Source organism: Homo sapiens, chromosome 12 (genome assembly GCF_000001405.40).
Source record: "Homo sapiens chromosome 12, GRCh38.p14 Primary Assembly".
Lineage (NCBI taxonomy): Eukaryota > Metazoa > Chordata > Mammalia > Primates > Hominidae > Homo > Homo sapiens.
In genome coordinates, this window is record NC_000012.12 from 21,930,353 (window position 1) to 21,954,634 (window position 24,282).

Here is a 24,282-nt window from a genome sequence, read left to right on the forward strand (position 1 = left end):
GCCCAAGTAGTCAATAAACAGATCTATATAGCACTATAAAAATTCAAATTTTTTTTTACAAATGAGGTTTTCAAAAAAGCAGACCTCTGAAAGGAGGAAGGAAAGAAGTTAAATGATTGGCATACCTGGGGAGGTCATGTTATACACAGATAATCTTAGGTCTCATCTGTAAAACTAAGACAAGATCCTCTCAGCGTAGATAATGTCACAGAATTACAGGCCAGTGGAGCAGAAAGGTGGAATAGGACTCTCCAGCACAAATGAGTTGAAAATTTATGTCTACACAATATGTGCAAACGTGCACAGAAATGTTTATAGCATTTTTTTTGATAATGGCCAAAACTTAGAAGCAATCCAGATGCCCTTCAGTGGGCAAATGGATAAATAAATGGTGGTATATACAGACAATAGAATATCATTCAGCACTAAAATGAAATGATCTATTTGGCCATGAAAAAACTTAAAGGCACCTTAAATGCAGATTACTATGAAATTATATGGGATATATACTGTGGGGTTTTGATAGCAGGGAAGATTGGGCATATGTGGGGGAAAGATGTATATAGGGAATCTCTCTATTTTCTACTCAATTTTGCTGTAAACCTAAAACTGCTCTAGAAAAATTAGTTCATATTTTTTAAAGTACCTGAGTTCAGAAAATGTAAGCTTTATTTGCTAAAAATATAGAAGCACATTTAAATTTAAAAATTAAATTGAGCTATGATATGGTTTGGCTGTGTTCCCACCCTAAATCTCACCTTGAATTGTAATCCGAATTGTAATCCCCATGTGTTGGGGGAGGGACCTCATGGGAGGTGATTAGATAATGGCAACAATTCCCTCATGCTGTTCTCAACATTATCAGTGAGTTCTCACGAGATCTGATGGTTTTTTAAGGGTCTTTTTCCCCTTTGCTCTGCACTTCTCTCTCCTGCCACCATATGAAGAAGGAATTGTTTGCTTCCCTTTCTGCCATGATTGTAAGTTTCCTAAGGTCTCCCCAGCCATGTGGAATTATGAGTCAATTAAACCTTTTTACTTTATTAAAAAAAAAAAAGAAGTAACTAGAAGATGATGTTTCGAAAAGCCTGAATAAAAAGGGTAAGGAGAAGTCTATACCTAAAGAGTAGAAGAGCATAACACAGAATCAAGGCTGTATTTTTACCTGTTTTTAGGACCTCTTTTATCATGACCACTACAAACAAGTTTCTACCATTAGGATATATCATTATTATTGTGAGTTCAATCTGTGTTTTGTGAGGACCTGACTGAATCTACATATCAACCAGAGGAGTCTTCTTGTCCACATGATGTCAAGTTTCAAAAAAATATTGGATGATCTATCTTCTACTTTATACATACGCATATAAACAGATACAGTAGCCTAAATGCTACTGTATAAAAATTAAGCCTAGAATTGGCTATGCTAGTATAAATAAATATACCAGCATTTTAAACAGTTACCAACAAGATAATATCCAATTAAGCTTCTAAATGTCTGGAGGGATGGCATCTATTAGAGTCTCTAATTTTTCTTTTTATCAGAAATTAAGACATGCACATACCTGCGAAAAGCCCTCATAAAACATTACAAAATAGTTGGTTCCATGACAAATGCTTAGAAGTTTCATTCCTTGTTAATTGCAACAGAAAACACAAACAGATGTCAGGGAGGTTCCAGTTCAATAAGAAGAAAATAAATTTTAGACTTTCCTATCAAAAAATTTAAAGGTCTTCTAATATTAGCTCCTCAATGAAAGTTACACCATTTAGCATAATTTCATAATCAAAATTTACCTATTCTTGAGTTTATTTTGTTACTATATGAGAAAAATATTTTCACCAGATTATGTTCAAGTTTATAAATATAATTCATTATATTTTAACTGTCTAATGAAACATCTTATTTTATAAAAATAACAAAATTCCTTTAAAAATATGGGTTTTTAAAACTATAAAACCCTGGAAGACAACCTAAGCAATACCATTCAGGACATAGGTATGAGCAAAGATTCCATGACAAAGATGCCAAAAACAATTGCAACAAAAGCAAAAATTGACAAATTGCATCTAATTAAACTAAAGAGCTCCTGCACAGCAAAAGAAACTATCAACAGAGTAAAAAGACAACCTACAAAATGGAAGAAAATTTTTGCAAACTATGCATCCAACAAAGATGTAATATCCAGCATCTATAAGGAACTTACACAAATTTACAAGAAAAAAACAAACAACCTCATAAAAAAGTGGGCAAAGGACATGAACAGACACATGTATGGAAAAAAGCTCAACATCCTTGATCATTAGAGAAATGCAAATATAAACCACAATGAAATACCATCTCATACCAGTCAAACGGCTACAATTAAGAAGTCAAAAATAACAGATGCTGGTGAGGCTGTGGAGAAAATAGAATACTTATGCACCATTTGTTGGAGTGTAAATTAGTTTAGCCATTGTAGAAGACAGCGTGGTGATTCCTCAAAGACCAAAAAACAGAAATACCATTTGACACAGCAATCCCATTATTGGGTAATGGGAATATAAATCATTCTATTATAAAGACACAAGCATGCATGCATATGTTCATTGCAGCACTATTCACAATAGCAAAGACATGGAATCAACCTAAATGTCCATCAATGATAGACTGGATAAAGAAAATGTGGTACATATACACTATGGAATACTATGCAGCCAGAAAAAAACAAGATAATTTCCTTTGCAGGGACATGGATGGAGCTGGAGGCCATTATTCTTAGCAAACTAACAGGAATAGAAAACCAAATACCACATGTTCTCACTTGGTAAATGATGAGAACACATGGACACACAGAGGGAAACAACACACACTGGGGCTTTTGCTTTTCAGAGGGTGGAGGGTAGGAGGAGGGAGAGGATCAGGAAAAACAACTAATGGGTACTAGGATTAATACCAGGGTGATGAAATAATCTGTACAACAAACCTCCGTGACTCAAGTTTACCTGCATAATAAACACGCACTTGTACCCCTGAACTTAAAATAAAAGTTTAAAAAATTGGTTTTATTACAAATCTTGATTTTAAAAGTTTTGTGGTTTGCATCAATTTATGGCTCTATCCTCACTGATTCTCAGACTCATTCATCCTGACTCATCTATCTTTGCTTCTTTACAAAATAAATGGAAAAATCTGAGAAATAATTAATATATTAACATAAGTATATAGCTATTAGACCTATGTGTAAATGTAGACAATCTTTCCATTTATACCTATTTTTAACATTAAAAAGTTCAAAAAGACATAAGAACTTCCTGCAAGAGCTACATGGATCAGAGAGCAAAAAATATAAAGCACATTTATGGGCACAAGTTACAAAGATGTGAACTTGTGTAATCAATATACCCACTGGTATACTGCAGTGGTATTATTTAACTTAGATCACTTACGAGTCTGAAACAATGCCTTCTGCTATTTCACAGACATGCACAAACAGGAGAGCGAATGTAAGAATCCATCTCAGGTTATGTCCCGGAAAATGAAGCCATGTGTTGTGGTGAATTTGTACTTTTGAGCTTTGGCTCCCCCACCCTGGAAAAGAGAGAAAAGTTAAAAACAAAAAGACATAAACCGAAGGCTCAATTGTAATAAACATAATTTAAATTATGATAAGCTTTAAGGCAGGGGTGGGGGGGTCCTGAAACCTTAAAACTTTCTAGAGTAGCAATGGAAATCCTAGTCTATTTTCATTATTCAAAAGAATTACAATTAACTTTTACAAGACTACTCAGGCTAACACATTAACATTTGTGGCATTACTCAGGAATAATACCAACTCTGGATGACAACATGGTTCTACCTCATGCTAATCAGAAGCTCTTCCTGACAGCTTTCTGATTAATTCAAAAGGAAATAAGTTGATGATAATAATACATGAAATTTGGTGTAGAAAATCTTTGAAGACATGAAATCTACAAGGGGCTAAATCAAGAAAAGACATATTTGGTTACAAAATACAGGACTCATTAGCTGAGTCAACTCTTAATCATATGCACATCATATGAGAAAAATTGTTATGTATGACTAGGCAGGCACTATTATTCAACAAGTAGTACTGATACTTTTCTCAAAGAAAGCTAAATTTCTTGATGATGAGCTTTTAAGCAAGCTCAAAACCATTATAGGTCCACCGTTAGCTTGCCACTGAAGAAAAAAATTCAAGGTTGTATGTTAGTAAAATTCTGATCGTTTTCTCCCTAAAGTACTATACAGTTTAGTTACTACGTAGAGTAATACTAGGTCATGTAGAGTAATACTAGGTCATGTAGAGTAATACTAGGTCATATGTGGTGTGCTAGTAGGCCCCACTTTTGTCTTGTTTTGTTCTTTTTTCTCATTTTTTGACTGTAGAAAAAAAGCCCCACCTACTTCAAGAACAAATGGGGGTTTGGGCTTGAAATACTGCAGGAAAGAATTTCTGTATAGGCAGCAGATGCCCCTTTTATTTGAAATGAATATTCATGTCTTAGTTGTTTTCAATTTATTCATCATTGGAAGATTAGTTATATTTAATATATTCTACTAGAACTTATGCTGTAAACTCCCATAGGCAAGTTCTATGTCTTTTTTTGCAACCTTATGATTTTCCTAGTACCTGATAGTTTTTAAGATTGATTTATGATCCTTCACTAATTCAAGCAGCCAATGTCATAAATGAAAAGTCTGAATTTTTTCTATTTCCCTTTAACAATGTCCCCTCAAATTCTCTTCTATTCAAATACCCTGGTGCCAGCCTCTTTGCTGGATGCTAGGGATACAAAATGGAATGTCCCTGTTCTTGCTCTCAAAAAGTTAACCAGATGTCAATAACTGGGGAATTATTAATTGTGGAATTACAGTTAAAAAATCCATTTTTCTACTTTTGGCCAAAGGGCGTTCTTCATGGCCTACAAATAATACTACATAAACAAAGACTGATGTTTCTACATATGGCCATTCTGGTCTCAATATATTTAGCATCTGTACATTTGTTCAACATAACTATGTACCAAGAATTATGTTGGCCTGTGTATATACCATATGATGAGTTCTTTAATCCCCCTTAGAATAATGCCAAGCACATAGTATCCTCTCAATTGATATTTGTTAAATGAATAAATAAAAGTGTATGAATGATTTTCAAACATTCCCTTAAAGTAGATCATTAAATTTTGCTAGTTTTCTTAAGAAAATGCATCTGAAAACTTTTTCACTTATTTAATTGGAAAGATACCATACATGAAAAAATTGAACACAATCAACTCAAAATAGTGGTTGTCTCCTGTGAAAAGATAGGAACGTAGGATATGGAAAGAGTCACAAGACCAGGAAATGGTGTGCAGAGAGAGGTCCTTTCATTCTTATTTCTATATTCTTTAGATGAGCGTTGGTAGGCTCAATGGATATTTATTATATTAATGTCCATCATTTTAGGTATCAAAATACTTCATAATTTTAAAAAAGTTAAAGGGTCTGTTTGGGTAAGTTATACAAATTATTCATAATTGCCCCTAATTATCAGATTTTATACATATGTAAACTGTAAAATAATAGACAAAACTGTATTGTTAACTTCTTCCCAAATTCTTTGTGAATGTCCTCTTTCTACATAAAACACAACCTCATCACTCCCACTGTAACTTGCATGCTTGGCATCTTCCAGTTCCCCAGACATGTCACTCACTATCTTCCCCACCACCTCCAAAGAGTGAGTTGTTTCAGCAGGTTAATTTGTTCCTGTGCTTGTAAATAGGCTTACAATGTGGCATAGTCATTTCTCATGACTTTAACACATCTGCCCCACTGGACTATTCCCTGAAGGCAAGTACTCTTTTATTCATTTTCCATTCCCTTTACCTAACCCAAAGTAAGTGCTCAACTAATGCTGTAGATCTATCTCATATATTTCTCTTTCCTTCTTTTTAAAAAACTGCTGCTGCTACCTGAAGGCCATGCCTAAGCAAGCATGTGACCTCAATTTCACCTACGGAAGATCACCTGTCAAAAATATATGTTTGAAAAACACAAAATACTTGCTTGTTCGTTTCTCACAGCCATCAGCTTCCATGTTACAGAAATTAAGTCAACATTATCCCAAATCTCAGCCATTAGCGAGATATATAAACATCAAATGGTATAACATAAGATACTAGATTACTTACCAATAAACAATATTGGAAAAGTGATAAACAACAGAAAGACATGAGGGACCAGGTTGAGGGCATCCACAAAGCAGGAATTTTGTAGTACACCATCGTTGATATTATATGAAGAAATGTTGTTACCACAAAATGAAAGGCTCATTTCTTCTTATATGGTTTACTCTAAAAGGGAGAGAAATGAGAAAGAAAAATCCTCTTATTAGTAAACTCTTGTTCATAAAATTATTAAAGCCTTGAATAGAGGGCTATATCATAAAATTAATCCCTTTTACTTTGATAGCTGAGGAAATAAGAAACTCTGTGCCAAAGCAACTTGAAGCTTTCTTATAAAATACGTCCTATGAGATCTTCTTTTCCATAGCTTTTACTTCCAGAGAAAAATGCTTTCATGTGGAAAATGTATTATAATTAATATCTACCTATAGTAGTACCTCAAATGAGTGTCTGACTAAAATGCTTTCAAAGAACAAAAATGGTCATATATTAAGAAAAAGGAGAAAAAAAATTGAACCAATGACTAAAAAGTCAAAATGGTATAATTTCAAATATTTTCCCATACTCACTGAAAATGTACTAATAAACAACAAAAGTTGTTCAGTAAACTGTGACAGAGTTTGCTGAAACATTTCACTAGTTGTGGGAAATACTAATATACAGAAACAAGTGTGCCTGCAGTAATGGCTAACAGTAATCAGTCTTTCCCTGAAGAATATTAAAAATCAAATGCTCAAGATGAATTAAACCTAACTCAAATGACAAGTCAACGAAACTACTCAGATTCCATAGTTAGAATATTCTCACAAGAAATACACTCTACGCAAGTTTGAAACGCAGGATGTCTTTTAACTGGAAATTGGTACTCCATGAGTAGAAGTAGATGAGTTTAGAGAGGAAACAGAGGACAAGGTCACACTGTGCTTTGTAAGTCATTGTCAGGATTGCGGCTTCTACTCTTAGTGAAGTGGGCCACTGGGGATTCCGGGGCAGAGGAGTGACGTGCTCTCACTTACATGTTAAATGGTTCTCTATTAATGCTGTGCCCAAACAGATGGGAGATGAGCAAAGGTCTGCTCCATGAAAATACTGCTGTGAAATTCCAGGAAAAGCTTTGACATTCTGAAAACTTATTTTATAATGCCTACTACTTATTTAAGTTCTGGGCACTTTGCATATCTTAAATCCTCAGAACAACCTTGTAATTCATCTTTTACAATGGAGGATACTGAGGTCCAGATAAGTTCAGTAACTTGCCAACCAGTAAAGCGGTCATGTCCACACCCAAATATCTGACTTATAAACTATTTCTTTCCACCGTATTACACAACCTCCAACCTGCTTTTTAAAGAAGCTATCGTATCTATTCTTTAAAACAAGTAGCAGTTTAAGATTTTAACCTCACTAGACCTAGTTTCTATATTTATGTCACAATGGATTCTGAGTTGCATTACAAAAGGCTGGCAAAAATTTTATTAACTAGCATAGTACCTTTTCTTTCTTTCCTTTCATTGATAATTGATTTAGCAATGGTCACAAACAATACTTTTCCTAGGAAAAAACAGTGTTATACAGAAAAGATTGTCAATGGTAGGTAAATTATTAGAGAAATCAAATTTCAAGCAAAGGTTTTATAAAGCATTATATGAATGCCTCAGCTAAAGAGTCTGTGTATTTACAATCTTAGATACTTATACAGAATGCCTCTCACATATTGTTCCTGATAAGCTCTTTTTATAATAAATAGTTGATATGCTCTCTAGTTGAGTCTTTCCCTCATCTTTTTTTAAAAAGTTGTATTTTTAAAACCTCAAGGTGAAGTTATACACTGGGTAAATTCTAACAAGCTATTAAGGTATTAATCTGGATAAAAGAATAAAAGGGACTTGAAGTTTTTAAAAAACAGCAAAATGGAAGTTATTAATTTATAGGTGTATGTTAGATGTATTTCTGGCAAAGACAGACAAAAACAAAACTAAAAACTAATAGCTAGTAATGAATTTTTTAGACTACTTCCTTTATTTAGTAGAAATGATAAAAAGAAAACTTAAAGCCCACTCTTAATTGAAAGACATATATAAACTTTCCTCGCACAAACTAGAAAATGATTTTTACTTTAGCAACTTTTATAATCTTATCCAAAATTATAATATTCCAGTTGGCCACATTTATAAACTAGTATCATTGAGGTAGATGCTAAAATATAACCTGCTGCTTTGCAAATTACACCCTTCATTAGCTATAAGCATTGCTTGCCTGGTGTTTAATCAATCCTGAAATCTACCAATTAAATCGCCTTTGGATAAATGTTGTGTGTAACTGGAAAAAAAATCTCAGAGAAGTACAATCACCTGAAAAATTTAAGAACATTTTCAGACATACACCAGATATCTGGAATTCTATGCCATTAACTAATGAACTGTAAAAACACTTATTGATGCTAACTACGTGCTAGTTACTAGGAATCCAATGGTGCACGTCAGAAACAGTTTCTGTGGTTTTATTTAGACTGTATGAATCAGATTACAGTAGTCTCAGTAGCTGTGGGTATATTGTAGGGGTATATGATCTAAAAGATAGGAAAATAAGAAATGATGCAATCAAACAAAAGTGTAAACTTCAAGTTGGTACAGTAAACGCTTTAGAACGATTTTTCTGTCTGCCATAAACTCTAACTTCACATTTCCGGCCGGCTCTGAACCTGTGCATTACCTTACCGCATGTCTCCTTTCACCTTTTCTTTTGACTCCTCATTTATCCTTTCCCTTTAACCCGTAGTCTCCTTATCCAACATCCAGAGTCCATGTGGCACTCTAACAGCCAGCCTCCATTACAACCCAACATGGACAAAAAGAGGGAGGCAGTAAACTTATTGCTGATATATTGATAATTATTGTGTTTATCAAAGGCATTTTATTCAATCCACGTTCCTAATCCTTAAATTTCCAATTGTCATTTAATGTTTCCCTCCCAGACACCAGGTTCAATTGGGAATGTTTGGGGAAGGGTATAAATCGCTGTTCTTGCTGGCTAAACTCTGTCACCTGACATCCTTCAGCTCCACCCCTTCTGGAGCTGTTTAGATTCAGCTAAGCACTGAGGGAGGCCCAAGCATCAAGGAGAGAGAGAGAAGGGAGAGCAGATGGGGAGATATAATGTTTCCCTTTCCACAAGCATAAGCCATCGAAATATGCTCAGTTGTTTATGAGAGGTGATAGAGTTGGAGAACTTGACTGAATAAACTTTAAAAACAAAGATCAAAGTGAAATTTTGCTTCTAACGTATGTCTATGGAGCAGAAAACATAAAATAGAAATACTCCTAATTATCTAACTTACGATTTCATGGCAAGAATCGCACCCTCAGTGTTTTTATTCCTCGAAATGCATTACATGAAATTCCACACATCTAGAACATATACATTTTGGATTTAGTTGGTGAATATAATACCTGACCTATCCAGTCTGTTGGTTCCTCTGCAAGACACGAGCAGTAGTTATCTGATTTAATTCTAAAAACACATTTAAGTGCTGAGGCATATAAGGTACACCATTTATTGTGGCCAGCCCTGTCCTTTGGAAATAGACTACAAGTAAAGCAAGTGAAAACTTGTCTTCCTTCCTGTTCACTTAGCAGAAAGCGTTAGTTCTGATCGAATAGCAATTGCAGAGAGTTTAAAATGCTGGAAACACCTGGAGAAAACATGCTAAATTTAAATAAAAGTTTTCATTCTTACATATAAAAGGATTCATTCTTTAATCGTTTAGAGATTAACCAAATTCTGTTATGAAAGAGAAGCAGGACATTTTAAAGAACTTAGGGCTTTATCATCATCTAGAGCATTTTCAGGATGGATGTCACTTGCAAAAACAAATGCTGTAATCACTTCTTTGAAGTTATTCAGTCCCTAGTTCATGAAATAAAAACTAGAAGATGTATAGCTAGTTAGCTAGCTACCATGGCTATAACTATGACAGATCCAAGTGGGAAAATCACTGGCAAAAATGACCACTGACTTCTGACTTAGTGCCTGATCTGAATCCACCCATTTACTCTTCAGTGGCTGTGAAGTACCATCCCACACCAAAAGAAATGTTGAAATTACTCAGTAGGTATTCCTTAGATACTGCAATGGGATTTTAAAAAAAATCCCAAACTGAACAAATAAAGCAAAAAATAAATACCTTGGGCAATAGCTTCACGCTGCTTCAAACCCCTGCCGGTGCACTTGAGCTACCTTCAAAACACCGACTTCCTACACTGTCTTAAGATGTAAATTTCAAACCCGGACGCAGAACTCCTAAAAAAAAGTAAAGAGTAACAAAAATTAAGCAGATAGAAAACTACTTCTTGAACATACAAGAATTGTCTACAAGAAAGGCGGTAATAATAACTCCTAATAATAATAACTCCTTTCACTGTTTCCAGTTGATTTGAGTAGGAGACGGCAGTTTTGAAGTAAAACTGGAAACCTGATCCCCACCCCTTCACTTCTCGAGCCGGGCCTCGTCCCTTAATTCTAGAAATAGCGATCGCGAAAGCTAAGTGCCGAGAAGTGCGAGAGAGTGCGAGGGCGTTTTTGGATAGCAGAAATGTTAGCTCAAAATCGACAACTTACAGTTATTCCTAAAAATGTTTAAATGGCATTCATGTAAAAGACACGGATTCACTTACTCCGATGACAGTTTTCCTCCCCTAGGCGAAGCACGCAGTGCGCCGGAACGGATTATTTTTAGGGTGGTGGGAGACCAGCTGCTGCCTCCTATCGAGTTTCTAAATTGCACAGACTGCTCTGGGCCGGGGCAGACACCGCGGCTGAGAAGCAGGAAACTGGGCAGAAGCCCCGCGCGCCGCGCCTGGGGCCGGAGACCTTCCCCATCCCTGCTCTGCTCAGCTTTGACTTGGGGCGGGCGCGACGCCGCGATTTTACAAACCCAAGTAATAGGCGTCCCCTTAAACTTCATTAGACACTGAAACTTGGAATATGATTCCATGATTCTCCGGAGTCGGGTTTTCAAACGTCAAAACACTCAAGGTATTCTTGTTTCTTTGTTTTGTTTTTCCATGCTCTGTAAGCACCCCTTTATTAGCCACGTAAGGAAGCGGATTTGGGGATTTCGCTGTTTCCCCCTGAACGGATCCGGGAAATGAAGGGCTCATTCTAGGTAGAGGCACCCACTGCTGGGTTATGAGTGCACGAATGTCTCACAGGAGCAAGGCTGGCTCAAGTCTAATTTTCCGCTTTTCCCCGGCGACCTAGAAAACTTGGTTTCTCTGGTGGACCAGCCGCCGCGCTATCGAAGGGCGACCCTTGCCCACCGTCCCCTAAAGTGAGACGCTGATTCCCATGGACTGCGTAAACAGTCACCCTCTTCTCCTGTTTCCAACCAGAGACATAATTAACTCTCGAGATAACGTGTTTATATTAAGATCACCCCACAACCACTCCCCCGCGAAACACAAGCCGTGAATTTTGTCCCCGACAACCCTCTTTAATTAACACCGGATTTTCTCAAGAGCCAGTTTTGAGTCAGCTTGAGATAAGCATTGTTTTCAGGAACTGTCGTATTTTAATAAAGGATGGTCAGCCGGGCGGACTTCTGCCCCTGAGGCTCCGCATGCCGTCCTCAAGGGGCGCCGCTGCAGGACTGCGGTCTGCTGGCGCTGGTCCCCAGATCTGAACCCTAAACACCGGTGGCCTCGTGGCCTGTGCGATGCAGGCCGACTCCAGCCCTGCCAGTCCCAGGGGATTTCTCCGCCGGCGCCCCACTCTTGGGAAGGTCGCTGCGCTTCCGGGTGAGTGCCTGACCTGCGTCAGCGGCTGGGACTTGAACCCGCGGCCGCTAGGAATCTGCGAGGCCATATGGGGCCGAAACCTGGGAGGGTCCGAAGACTCCGTTCCTGTGGCCTTTGAACGCTTGACAACTTTACCCTGGAGCTGTCTGCAGCGGCGCAGGGAAATAAGAGAGCGTTTCAACAGTGAGGATCCTGGTACTATGGATGCAGCCCAGGGTGGCCGGGTGAGCAAGCTGGACGCGAGGCCAGAGGCTCTCCAGGGCATCTATGGAGAGAGAACTGGAAATAGGGGGTGCCAATAATCCCAAGATGAAAACTCTTGAGTGTGACTACACAAAATGAAGTTTACTTGAGGATTATAAAAGAATATTACAATTCATTAAGGTCATTTACAATGTTTAAAAATCATGCTTATTGTAGAAACTTTGGAAGATGTGAAAGTGTACAGAGGAGATCAAGGAGCCCCCCGTAGATGCACCTGTGCACACACACCCATAAAACTACTGAAAACATTTTTTTTTATGTTTTAACAAACACAGGCGGTATGGTGCATTGATTAAGAGTGTGGACTAGGAAGGCAGCCTGCTCGATATCACATCCTGCTAGTTAGTTCAGAGACTGAACAAGTCACATAAACCCTCTGTGTATCAGCTTCCTCCTCTGTTTAATGGGACAATAAAGATAAATAATTTAAATAAATATAGAATAATTTTTAAAATAATTTAAATGGCTATATACTATTCCATTGAAAGGCTATACCATAAGATTCATTTTCCCGTTGTTTGACATGTATTTGCCCAATTTTACTAATATCTGTGATCATATGATGACCTTTTTTCATAAACTTTTTTTCTTTCTAACAAGTAATGTTTTAAGATAAATTATGTGAAAAATAATTACGGGATCAAAAGTGGTAGATATTTTTAAGGCTGTCAACATAGAATGCAAAATCACCCTTCTATGAAGTTCGTATTAAGTCCCCCAAATTGTATGAGATGAGCTATTACACTTATACTCAAACCAGCATTGGATATTGCTATTTTTTATTTTAAAAAAATATTTTAACTTGACAGATAATATTCAATTCTGTTATTCACATTCAACATTTCCCCACTATTGATTAATCTTTGTATCCCCTCTTTTGTGGCAGTTTGTTCACATACTTGTGTACCTCATGGGTCTTAATGAAGTTTACCATTTGTATAAATGTTTCATAAGAGTATACTAATCAAATGTTTAATAAGAGGATACTAATCCTGCTTCATATATGACACATTTTTCCCAATTTGTCATATTGTTAAAAAATGATAGTGCTGCTGCCTTTCAAAAAAGTAAGAAAAAAGTTTTCATGTGTTCTGTAAAGATTTATTAGAGCACACACTATGTGCTAGACATAGAAGCTAGTGATGAGTCAGATCTCTAGGGTCTATTGCACTTCATTGAACTTTCTCCTAAGGGAAATTTTACGTAGGCAAATTTGCTGCTTGTTGCCTTTGCAATGTATTAGAACACTTTAGTTAATAAATATTTACCTTCATTTATATTTGTTTAAAGGCTTTAGTAAAAATTTGATTTTGGAATTTATTTTGGCATACACTATGGGATGAAAATCTGCATTTATACTTTATTTGTTACACCAACACCATTTACTGAATAATCTTTTTCTTCTGCATTGTGGTGTAATACCACTTTTGTCATATACACATAATTAGTTCATAATAAGATCTGTTTCCGGGCTACCTATTCTGTTCAATTGATCTGTTTCAATTTTTTATTATATTGCTATGATTAGACTGATTTGATTATCAGAGATTAAATTATATTGTAACCCTGACAGTGCCAGTCCCCTTTTCACTCTTTTCAAAATTTTCAAAGCTCCTCTCTTTTGGGGATTTTATTGGAATTTCATTAAAACTAGGAAGTAATTTATAAAGAACATATTTTTAGTGCTTTGTCTCTTCACCCAGAAATGTAGTTTCCCATTTATTTGTCTTCCTTTTATCCCAGTATTAAATTTATACAGGTCTGTGCATATTTTGTAAAGATTGATCATACAAATTTCATATTTTTGTTTTAATATTTTGTACTGCTATTAAGGATGTACTATTTATTTTGTCCAAAAAAAGTATATTTATCTTATATCCAGACACTTTATTAAGACTTCTCAGTAATCCCAGAGCTATTTCACCCTGTTACCTTGACTTTCCAGAAATACGATTTCATCTGCAAATAGTGGTACCCTTCCATTTTAAAATACTTACAGCTTGTTTGCATTTTATCTCTAATCTTCATTAAATACATTCCAGAAGTGTTAAATAATACAAGAAGATAAACCATTGTTTCTTTCAGAAATATATACAATATATTTTTAAATCAACATTGTAAGTATAATTTTCATGAAATAAAAAGTATCCATGATACATGTAAAATCCAAAGTCTTTTGAAATAACCATGATCCCAAAAAGATACAAAGTATTTCTATCTCCCAAGGAAGTTATCTTGTGCCTTTAACTAGTCAGTCTAACTGTCTCTCACTTAGGGTAACAAGTGACCTGAAGTCTATCACTGGAGATTAGTTCACAAATGTCATATAAAAGGAGTCATACAGTACATACTCCCTTGTGTCTGGCTTCTTTAGGTAAGCATAATATTTTTGAGATTCATCCATGTTGTTGTATATATGAATAGTTTATTCCTTTTATTGCTGAGTAGAATTTCACTGTATGAATATGCAGTTTGTTTATTCGTTCACCTATCTGTATACGTTTGGGTTATTTCCAGTTTTGGGCAGTGATGAATGAAGTTTCGGTGAACCGTTTTGTAAACATAGGTGTTTTGTTTTTTTTTTCCTCTTGGGTAAATATTAAGCAGTAGATTTGCTGAGTCATATGGTAACTATACATTTAACTTTACAGAAATTACCAAAATGTTCTTCAAAGTCATTGAAACATTTTACATTCCCTCCAGAAAAGTATGGCACTTGCTTCACAATCTTGCCAATATTTAGTATTATCTTGTTCTTTTTCTAAATTTTAGCCCTTATATTGCATGTGGACTGGTTCTTGATTGTGGTTTTAATTTGCATCTACCTTATAACGAATGATTTTGAACACATATTTTCATGGTGTTACTGGTCATTTATATATTTTTTCATGGTAGGCACAACTCTAAGGTGGCTCCCATGACATTTACTCCTGGTGTTACTCCCGTGATTACATTATGTTACAAGACAAAAGGAATTTTGTAGATGTAATTAGGGTTACTAACTAGTTGACTTTAAAATAGGCATATTAGGGGTGACATTAGCAAGACGACAAAGTAGGAGATGCCAGCCTTTATACTTCCACAAAACACAACAATTAGACAGCTATCCACAAACAAAAATAGACCTAGGAGGGCTCAAAAATCCAGTAAGCAAGAACACAGTGGAAAAAAAAAAGTCACTTGGGAGATTGGCTTAGCAATGTCTGCAGATGGCCATAAACAAAGATTAAACAAACAGGGATGAGTTATGTGTATCAGCCATATGTTGGGTCCCATCATGATCCACAGTGGCCTATCCTCTAAAGGACCTTGGTAGTCTTAGCCACTGAGGACCTCAACAACCCCCACAGCAGAAAACCCCATAGTGTTTGTTGGCACTGACCCCATTGGCCTACTCTACAGAGGACATCAGTAGCTTTTGCCACTGAGGTAACCAACAGCCATCCCACCATAGATCTCCAGGAGAGGGAAACATTGCTGCGTACTGTCTAAAAGGATGTGCTTTTGTGTTGACCAGAGACCAGGGCTGCCACCCCTACCCCCAACCCCATGACTGCTCTGGAACACAGAGCCACAATTTCTCTGCACACACATGCACCTCGGACCCCAGTTCTGCGAACACTCTGCACATGCCCACACTCCATACCTAGCTCTATGGCTGTTGCACATACGCTTGTGTCTCAGGCACTAGAGCCACAGCTGTCAAAGTATAGCCAGTGCCCTGGACACAGAGCCACTGTCTATCTGCATGTGTTCACACTCTGGACCCTGGCTATATGGTCACTTGGCAGGCTCCTGCATCTCAAACATTGGAACTCCTGTCAATGTGGGCTAGCCAGAGCCCTGGACCCTGGAGCTGCTGTCTGTCCACAGTGCCTGCACTCCAGACCCTATCTCTGTGGCTGCTCCGCAGATGCCCACTTGTGCATCAGACACCATTGTCACTGCCACTGTGAGGGTGCCTATGTGCTGGGCTTGGCACCAAGAGGGATCCCCTCAACCATGACATCTCCTGTGGGAGAAAAAGAGATCAAGAGGTTCCTAGCAGCCACCAAAGATCCCAACTGCTTTCATCACCACTGCAGACATGCATTGCCTTGGCCATTAAAGAATCCTGCAATCTTTGCCAATGTTAACCTCAGCTGATGAAGCCATGTGGAGATTATACTGGGCCTTCCCCAAAGCTATAATTTCCACACTCCATCCAGTCAGTGCCCTCACACCAACCTGCAGGTGAATGTCTTTTCCCGTGAAGCTAGTCTATAAAGTCTAGAAGGAATAACTGCTCCATCAATTGCTCAGATACCAATGCAAAACTATAAGATACATGCGAAGTCAAGGAAACATACCATCAGAGGAACACAATTTTCCAGGAACTGATCTAAAAGAAGTAGAGATCTGTAAATTGCTGGGCAAAGAATTTAAAATAAATGTCTTAAGGAAGCTCAGTGAGTTCAAAGAGAACATAGGTAACTCTGAAATAAGGAAAACATACAAACTAGCAGCTCAATGGAGATAAATAATAAAAAAGAACTTCTGGAGCTAAAGAATACAATGAATAACATGAAAAATGCAATAGAGAGCATCAATAGCAGCCTTAATCAAGTAGACCAAAAATCTGTGAACTGTAAGACAGATCATTTGAAATTATCTAGTCATTCTAAGTGAAGTAGCTCAGGAATGAAAAACCAAACATCACTTGTTCTCACTCATAAGTGGGAGCTAAGCTATGAGGAAATTCTTCAAGCTGAAATGAAAAGAGACTAATTAGTAACATGAAAATATATGAACATATAAAACTCACTAGTAAAGGAAAGCATATAGTCAAATTTAGAATACTCTAATACTCCAATGGTGGTGTGTAAATCATTTAACTCTAGTATAATGGTTAAAAGACAAAAATATTTTAAAATAACTAAATGTAAAAAATTTGCTAATGAATATACAATATAAAAATATAACATCAAAACACAAATTGTCATGAGAGTAAAAGGGTAGAGGTTTTTCTAAGCAATTGCAATTAGGTTGTTGTCAGCTTAGAATAGACTATTATAACTACAAGATGTTTTATGTATGCCTCATGGTAACTACCAAGCAAAAACCTGTAGTAGACTCACAAAAGATAAAGAGAAAAAAAACAAAGCATACCACTACAGAAAACTATCAAATCTCAAAGAAAGACATCAAGAAAGAAAAACTATAAAACAGTTAGAAAACAATGAGTTGACAGTAGTAAGTTTTTATATAGCAATCATTAGTTTACATGTAAATGGATTAAATTCTTCAATAAATACTTCGTTAAATGGCTAAATAGATGTTTTAAAGGGCCCAACTATTTGCTGCCTGTGAAATACTCACTTCAGTTTTCAGGAAACATATAGGCTGAAAATGAAGGGATGAAAAATATATTCCATGCAAAGGAAAACTAAAATAGGGCAGGGATGGGTAGCTATACTTTTATCACACAAAATAGACTTTACCTCAAAAATGCAACAAGAGAACAAATATAATTATGTTACAATAAGGGGGTCATATAACAACTGTAAATATATATGTATCCAACATTAGAGCATCTAAGTATATTAAGCACATATTAACCCAACTAAAAAAGAAATAATCAGCAATGTAACAACTTTAAGGAATTTTAACACCCCACTTTCAGCAATAGATAGATAATTCAGACAGAAAATCAATAAGGAAACACTGGAATTGACATCTTAGGCCAAATGGATCTAACAGACATGTACAGAGCACTCCATCCAACAATAATAGAATACAAATTCTTCTCACGTGCACACAGAATATTCTCTAGGATGGATTATATGTTAGGTCACAAAACATGTCTTAATAAGTTTAAGAAGACTGAAATCATACCAACTATCTTTTCCAGCCACAGTGGTGTAAAATTAGAAATGAATAACAGGAGGAATCTTGAAAAAGTCACAAATATGTGGAAACTAAAGAACATACTCCTGAACAATTAATGTATCAAAGAAGAAATCAAAGGAGAATTTTGTTTTAAATCTTGAGACCAGTGAAAATGGAAACACAGCCTCTCAAAACTTATGGGATGCAGCAAAAGCAGTACAGGGGGAATTTGGTAACAATAAATACCTACATTAAGGAAAATGAAAGATCTCAAATAAAAAAGCCCTAATGTTACACCTCAAGAAACTAGAAAAAGAACAAGCTAAGCCCACAATTAGCAGAAAAGAGAAAATAACAATGCTCAGAGAAGAAATACATAAAATAGAGACAAGAGAAACAGAAGAAAAGACCAATAAAATGAAGAGCTGATTTCTTGCAAAGATAAACAAAATTTAAAATCCTTAGCTATACTAAGAAAAAAGAGAGAAGACTCAAAAATGAAAAAGACGACATTATGACTGATGTGACAGAAATACAAAGCATCGTAACAGATTACTATGAAAAATTATATGCCAATAAACTGGATAACCCCCAAAAGAAGGATAAATTCCTAGAAACACAAAACCTACCAAAATTGAATCATGAAGAAATAGAAAATCTGAGGAGGCCTATAACTAGTCAGGAGATTGAATCAGTAATCAAAAGTCTCCCAACAATGGAAAGTCACTACCAGATGGCTTCACAAGGGAATTCTGCCAAACATTTAAAGAAAAATTAATACTAATTATTCTCAACTGCTTCCAAAAAAAATTGAAGAGAATGGAACACTTCCAAACTCATTTTATGAGGCCAGAATTTCCGTGATACCAAAGCCAGACAAGAAAACTACAAGAAAAGAAAATACCAGCCAATATTCATGCTGAATATAGATATAAAATTCTCAACAAAATACTAGCAAACCAAATCCAACAGTGGTTTATCCCAGGGATGATTCAACGTATGCAAATCAATGAATATGAAAAGCCATATTAACAGAATGAGGGGTGAAAATCCTATGATCATTTCAATAGATACAAAATGTTTGCAAAATATTCAACATATTTTATAATAAAAATTCTCAACAAATTTGATATTTAGAAGGAATGCCCCTCAACATAATAAATGTCATATATGGCCAGCCCATGGCTAACAACGTATTCATCATGAAAAGTTGGAAAGCACTTCCTTTGAAGTCAGGAAGAAGACAAGGGTGACCACTCTCATCACTCTATTCAACATACTACTGAAAGTCTTAGCCAGAATAATTAGACTAAAAAAAGAAATTTAAAAAACAGTCAAATTAGAAATGAAGCAGTATAATTTACAGATGACATGAACTTATATGCAGAAAACTCTAAAAGCTGCACCAAAAAAACCTGTTAAAACAAATTAAAAAGTTCATAAAGTTGCAATATAAAATCAACATACAGAAATCAGTTGTGGCCAATGCCCTAACAACAACCTAAAAGAGAAATGATGAAAGCAACCCAATTTGGTAACATTAAAAAAAAATACTCAGGAATAAATTTAACTAAGAACCAAAAGATTTGTACAATGAAAACTATAAGACATTGATGAAAGAAACTGAAAACATACATTTGCAGCAACACAGATGGAACTGGAGATTAATATGTTAGCTACAATAAGCCAGGCACAGAAAGAGAAATATAGTACGTTCTCATTCATATGTGGAAACTAAAAAAGTTGATCTCATGTAGAGAGAGAATAGAATAATGGTAGCCAGAGGCTGGGAATCAGGTGGGAGTTGCCAGAGGAGAATTAAGAGAGGTTAGTTAACGACCACAAAAATACAGTTAGATAGAATGAGTTCTAGTGTTCAATAGCACAATAGAGTGACTATAGTTAACTATAATTTATTGTGTATTTCAAAATAATTAAAAGATAAGATTTTAAATATTCCCAACACAGAGAAATGGCAAATATTTGAGGTGATAGATTATCCTAATCACATTTGAATATTACATATTGTGTGCATGTATCAAAATGTCACATGTACCCCATAAATATGACAATTATTATGTATCAATTTTTAAAAGCAAGAAGAATTGAAGATATATATAAATAAAAAGTCATCCTGTGTTCATGGATTGGAGGAATAAATACTGTTGAAATGACATACTACCCAAAGCAAACTACAGATTCAATGTAATCCTGATTAAAACCCCAATGGCATTTTTTACAGAAATGGAAAAAAATCCTAAAATGCATATGGAACCACAATAAGACCCTAAATAGCCAATGCAATCTTGAGAAACAAGAACAAAGCTGGAGACATCACACGTCTTGATTTCAAAATATATTACAAAGCTACAGTAATCAAAACAGTATGGCACTGGCATAAAAACAGACACAAAGACCAATGAAACAGAAGACAGAACCCAGAAATAAACCCATACATATATAGTCAACTGATCTTCAACAAAGGTGTCAGTATCACATAATGAGGAAAGAATAGTCATTTCAACAAATGGTGTTGGAAAAACTGGATATTCACAAACAAAAAGAATGACATTGGACTCCTATTATACATAATACACAAAAATAAACTCAAATTTATTAAAAACTAAATGTCATATCTGAACCTATAAAAATTTTCAAAGAAACGATAGGGGAAAATCTTATTGACATTGATCTTGGCAATGATTCCTTAGATTTAACACCAAAAGCACAGGCAACTAAACCAAAAATAAACAAATGGGACCACATGAAACTAAAAAGCTTCTGCACACAAAAAAGGAAACAACAAAATGGAAAGGCAAACTACACAATAGGAGAAAATATTTGCAAACCATATATATGATAAGGGGTTAATATCTAAAGTATATAAGGTACTCATACAGCTCAATATCATTTAAAAAACACAATCCAAGGACTTGAATACACATTTTGCCAAAGAAGACATACACATGGCCAATAGGTACATGAAAATGTGGTGAACATTACTAATCATCAGAAAATGCAAATTAAAACCTCCATGATATATCACCTCACATCCGTTAGGGTGGCTATTATCGAAATGATAAGATCAGTATTGATAAGGATGTAGGGAAAAGGGAACACTTGAGCACTGTTAGTGGAAATGTAAATTGGTACAGCCATTACATAAAACAGTGTGGAGGTTCCTCAAAAAATTAAAAGCAGAACTACCACACCATCCAGCGATACCAATTCTGAGTATATGTCCAAAGGAAACAAAAATCAGTTCTCAAGGAGAACATATCTGTACTCCCATGTTCTTTATGATATTATTCACAATGATCAAGCTATGGAAACAACCTGTCTATTGATGAATAAATGGATAAATAAAACATATACATGTATACTTACATACATTATATATGTATGTAAATACATTTCACATACATATAGAATGAAATATTATTCAGACATAAAAAAGAAGAAAATCTTACCATTCGTGACAACAATATGGGTGGACCTGGATGGCATGATGCTAAGTAAAATAATCCAGGCAGAGAAAGACAAATACTTTTGTGTGGAATCTAAAAAGAACAAGAAAAGTTCAAACTCATAGAAAGTGGAAGTAGAATGGTGGTTGCCAAGGGCTAGGGAGCAGGGGAGGCGGGGAGAAGTTGGCTGGATGGTACAAACATGCAGTTATAAGATGAGTATGTTCTGAGTATCTAATGTACAATATAACTATAGCTAATAATACTGCATTGTATACTTGAAATTTGCTGAAAGTGTAGACTTTAAGTGTTCTCACATTTTAAAAAAGCAATTATGTGAGGTGATTGATGCATTAATTAACTTGAGTGTGATAATCATTTTGCAATGTATATCGAATCATCATGTTGTACAGTTTAAATATATAAAATTTTATTTGTCAGTTATACTTTGATAAAGCCAAAAAAAGAAAAAAGTAGGCAGATTATCCATGCCTAATTTAATCACATAAACCCTTTTAAAATCAGAGTTTTCTCAGGCTGGTGGTAGAAGAGAAATTCGGATAGAGCTGAAGAATGAGAAGTATTTGATGTGAGGGAGGTTCTCTGTTCCTTAGATGAAGAGGGCCATGGGTCAAGGATCTGAGTGGCCTCAAGACCTGCACATAGTCCCCAGCCAACAAGTAGCAACAAAATGAGTGAAATTCTTATAGCCATGAGGAGTGAAATTCTTCCAACAACCTGAATGAACCTAAAAGTGAATTCTCCAAATAAAAATTGGACCCTCCTAATAAGAGCCCAGCCTGGTCAATACCTTGATTTTTGCTTGAGAGACTCTAAGCAAAACACCCCATCAAGCCCACCTGGACCAAGAGAACTATGAGAAAATAAATGGGCATTGTTAGAAGTCACTTAAATTTGTGGCAGTATCTTACACAGCAATAGAAAACTAATGCACTTCTTCTGTAAAGCATCTGTTCACACTTTTGCCCATCTTGTTTTAATTGGGTTATCTTTTTATTATTGAACTGTAACTTTTAAAATATATCTATATATTTAATTTTAATTTTTAATTTTTGTGAGTACACAGTAGGTGTATATCTTTACAGGGTACATGAGATGTTTTGATATGAGCATACAATGCATAATAATCACATCATGGAAAATCCATCCCCTTAAGCACTGATCCTTTGTATTGCAAACAAAACAACTATACTCTTAGTCATTTGTAAATATGCAATTAAATTATTATTGACTACAGTCATCCCACTGTACTATCAAATACTAGGTCTTATTCATTCTTTCTATTACTTTTAAAAAAATGTATTATGCATATGTTATTTGTCAGCTATATGTATTGAGAACATTTGTTGCCCGTTGGTGGCTTGCTCTTGGTGTTTTTAAGGAATATTTTAATTTTGATCAATTCAAATTAGCAATTTTTGTTTATTCAGTAGCTTAATGCATTGACTTTCCTCTCTAAGAAATTTTTGTCCAGCCTAAGATCATAAATATATTCTCCTAAATTTATTTTTAGGAATTATATGGTCACAGCTTTTATGTTCTGTGTTATAGTTTTGGTTTACTTCTGTGTAAAGTATAAGGTAGGCATTGAAGCTCATTTTCTCATTTTTTTGTGTGTGGACAAAATTCATTTTTGAAAAAGCAGTCTGTTCCCCCATCAAATTATCTTGGTATGTTTTTTGAAAATAACTTGACCGTACATGTAAATCTCCTCTTGAACTTTCTGTTCTGTATCATTTATCCATGTCTATTTTTTGCCTATGCCATTCTGCTTTATACTGTAGATTTTTAGTAAATTTTGAAATAATGTAGAATAAGTTCTCCAAATTTATTCTTCATTTTCAAGATTACTTGAGTTATTCAATGCACCTTTCATTTCCGTATAAATTTTGAAATTAATTGGCTTGTCAATTTCTACAAAATTCCACTAATATTTTGATTATGATTGTGTTGGATCTGTAGATCACTTTAAGGAGATTTACATCTTAACAACCTTGAGTCTTCCAATCCATGAATACAACATGTCACTCTATTTAGCTAGGTCTTCCTTTATCTCTCAGCTATGTTTCCAACTGTGTTCTGTGTATATATCCTATATATACCATAGCTCACTAAATCTCTCTCAAAATATTTTGTGATTTTGATAGTACTGTAAATGGTATTTTTAAATATCATTTTCTAATTGTTCATTATTAGTATGGAAGTGTCTTTGTATCCTGCAACATTGCTAACTTCACTTTATAAATTCTAGTACTGTTGTAGATTCCTTAAGATTTTCTATGTTCATGAAGTATCATCTACAAATAAAGACAGATTTGCTTCTTTTCCATCAGTATTTTTTTCTTGTCTTGTTACACTAGGTATCACCTCCAGTATGATGTTGAATAGGAATAATGAGAGTGGACATCATTGACTTGGTATCAGTATGAGAGGAAAAAGGATTCAGTCTTTCACTATTAAATATTATATTATGGTTAGGATTTTTATAGATTACTTTGTCATATCAGGGACATTTCCTGTTATTCATAGTTTGCTGAGTTTATTATGAATTGTTATTCAATTCTGTCAAAAAATTTTTTGTGCATATATTGTGATAATCTTAAGCTCTTTCCCTTTTATTCTGTTAATAGGCCAAAATGAATTGTTTGATTGTTGAGTATTAAACCAATCTTGAATTCCAAGGATAAGTTTTC

At 35.2% G+C, this 24,282-nt stretch overlaps 1 protein-coding gene across 8 annotated transcripts in view, besides 1 other annotated feature; it reads right to left on the minus strand.

Annotated features, from left to right (window-relative positions):
• ABCC9 (ATP binding cassette subfamily C member 9) overlaps positions 1-11,074 on the minus strand; it is a 144,038-nt gene extending 132,964 nt beyond the window's left edge. For 5 of the 8 annotated variants that reach the window (NM_001377274.1, XM_005253290.5, XM_005253289.5 and 2 more), the window contains exons 1-4: positions 10,848-11,074; positions 10,358-10,473; positions 6,181-6,342; positions 3,430-3,571 (exon numbers count right to left, since the gene is read on the minus strand). Coding sequence is in view for 7 of the 8 variants with exons in the window: in XM_005253290.5 (XP_005253347.1) it covers positions 3,430-3,571; positions 6,181-6,322 (284 nt within the window). In the remaining variant the exon portion in view is untranslated. Of the gene's footprint in view, positions 1-3,429; positions 3,572-6,180; positions 6,343-7,665; positions 7,726-10,357; positions 10,474-10,791 lie in introns of all 8 variants that reach the window. The other 3 variants (NM_001377273.1, XM_011520545.4, XM_005253288.5) reach the window with 3 other exon arrangements.
• Positions 10,507-11,484: an enhancer, noted in NCBI's record as "H3K4me1 hESC enhancer chr12:22093793-22094770 (GRCh37/hg19 assembly coordinates)". NCBI's record gives its function as "activates a minimal SCP1, AML or CMV promoter by ChIP-STARR-seq in naive H9 embryonic stem cells {active_cell/tissue: H9 hESC(naive)}" and the evidence as "EXISTENCE:reporter gene assay evidence [ECO:0000049][PMID:30033119]".